Genomic DNA, 2304 nt, shown 5'->3' with positions numbered 1-2304 from the left:
ATGACAAAACCCTATCTCTACTAAAAATGCAAAAAAAAAAAAAAATAGCAGGGCACTGTGGCGCACCTGTAATCCCAGCTATTCAGGAAGCTGAGGCAGGAGAATTGCTTGAACTGGAGAGGAGGAGGTTGCAGTGAGCTGAGATCACACCACTGCACGCCAGCCTGTGCAAAAGAGCAAAACTGCCTCAAAAAAAAAAAAAGTTGCCAGTAAATGGCAAAGTAGTTGCAGAAATTGATCAGAAAGAGATCACATGTTGGAGATGATGAAAAAAAAAGGGTACTCGGTGGCTTGTTCCTATTTCCAAAGTTCCAGAAGGAACTGTTAAAGCAAATAAATTAAGAACCATCCCCTCAGATCATGTATACATTCACCTCTCATCAGAATCTGAGCTTTATGAGAGAAAAGATAATTTTGTTCCCTTCTGTATCCTCAGAACCTAGAACACTGCTTGGCACAGAGTAGGTGCTCAAGAAAAAACACTATTGAATGGATTCATATTAACCCATATGATGGCAGCACAGAGGCGGCAGGAGAGATCATGGGGAACCCAAAATCACTGTTAAAAGTTGTACAAGGCCGGGCGCAGTGGCTCATGCCTATAATCCCAGCACTTTGGGAGGCCGAGGCGGGGTGGATCACCTGAGGTCAGGAGTTATAGACAAGCCGACCAACATGGTGAAACCCCATCTCTACTAAATACAAAAAAATTAGCCAGCATGGTGGCCCGTGCCTGTAATCCCAGCTACTTGGGAGGCTGAGGCAGGAGAATTGCTTGAACCTGGGAGGCAGAGGTTGCAGTGAGCCGAGATTGCGCCATTTGCACCCCAGCCTGGGCAACAAGAGCGAAAATCTGTCTCAAAAGAAAAAAAAAATTGTACAAATATGACACAAAAACTGTTTCAGGTAAATTTAAATGTTCAAAATTATATCCAATTTTAGAAACACATTTATCCTTTTTCTTATATCTTTCCCCCAAAATAATTATTATATAGTCCTAGTTGGGCATGGTGACTCACGCCTGTAATCCTAGCACTTTGGGAGTCCAAGGTGGGAGGATCACTTGAGGCCAGGAGTTCAAGGCCAGGAGCTCAAGGCTGCAGTGCTGCTGCACTCCAGTTGGGCAACAAAGCAAGACCTTGTCTCAAACAAATACACGTACATACATATATATATATGAAATATACTGATAATTAATATACAATGCCCTTCCTCTTCCATCATCTCTAATAATAATAATATGACATAGAGAATACTAGTAATTAATGCACAATACATCACATAAATTGATGAAAACAGCTAACAGGTTGTTACCATTTTTTCTGCGAATGGGCCAGTGAAATCTGTTGAACAAAAGGAAACAGAAGAGCATGTGTGTGGTAGAACACAGAGGCCAGGAAGGGGCTCGAAGAAAGGAACTGAGAGAAGATGGGGCAAGAGGAGGCTGACACCAGAGGAGGAAATTTCCAAGGGGTGGTGGGTTAGAAGAGGTTCAGGAGGGGTATCTGCGAGCAGGGGAGGAAACATTCTGAGCAGCTCAGCTGCAGAACCTTTGCTCCCTCATCCCTGGGACTCCCAGCCACTCTGCTATGCGGCTCTCTCCCAGGGACTACTTGATGGTCTTTTTGACTTTTTCCTGAATGTTCCACCTTATTTTTAATCATGGTTATTCTACAAAGCAATTACTCCACCCCATCCCCTTACTATAGGAAGCTAATTCTAAAAAAATTAATCAACTTTTAAAATAAGAATGCGCAGGATGAAGTCTTCACTAAAGTCTGTTAAAAAAAGGAGATGGCTATCTTCAGGGAGTGATTAATCGCAGCCTTTGCTATGCTTGACTAAATCACCCCTTGAAGCACTATTGATTCCTAACATTGGTGACGGGAGAACGCATCAGCCACCGTCACAGTTGTGCGCATGTCCACAAGAGGGCAGTGGTGCATGCAGTCAGAACCCAAGTTCTCACCCTGGCCTCAGCCGCTGGGATCAGAATTAGGGACTGCGATATAAGATCCAGAGTCAGAGAGCGAAGATCATCTCACACACACATGCTCACACACACAGGCGCACACACACGCACACACACAACACGTGGAGCACGGAGGCCCAGGGAGAAGGACTCGCCTATGGTCTCACAGAGACAAATTGCAGAGCTAGGCCTCCCTCCCTTCATCAGTTGTTCCCTGGGGAGTTGCTGTTAACAGACATGCTGGGGCCCACCCAGACCCAGTGAGTCAGAATCTCCAGGTGGGGCCCAGGCCTCAGTTTTTTAAAGCACCCCAGGGTTAAGAAGTCCTGCTA

The 2304-nt window shown here is 45.2% G+C and overlaps 1 annotated feature.

Annotated features, from left to right (window-relative positions):
- Positions 1860–2009: a silencer, noted in NCBI's record as "silent region_930". NCBI's record gives its function as "represses an Ori minimal core promoter by ATAC-STARR-seq in GM12878 lymphoblastoid cells {active_cell/tissue: GM12878}" and the evidence as "EXISTENCE:reporter gene assay evidence [ECO:0000049][PMID:35858748]".

The sequence above is a fragment of the Homo sapiens genome, chromosome 1, assembly GCF_000001405.40.
Source record: "Homo sapiens chromosome 1, GRCh38.p14 Primary Assembly".
NCBI classification, from domain to species: Eukaryota; Metazoa; Chordata; class Mammalia; order Primates; family Hominidae; genus Homo; species Homo sapiens.
The sequence above is the reverse complement of the archived record's forward strand: the minus strand, read 5'-3'. Positions and strand labels throughout refer to the sequence as shown.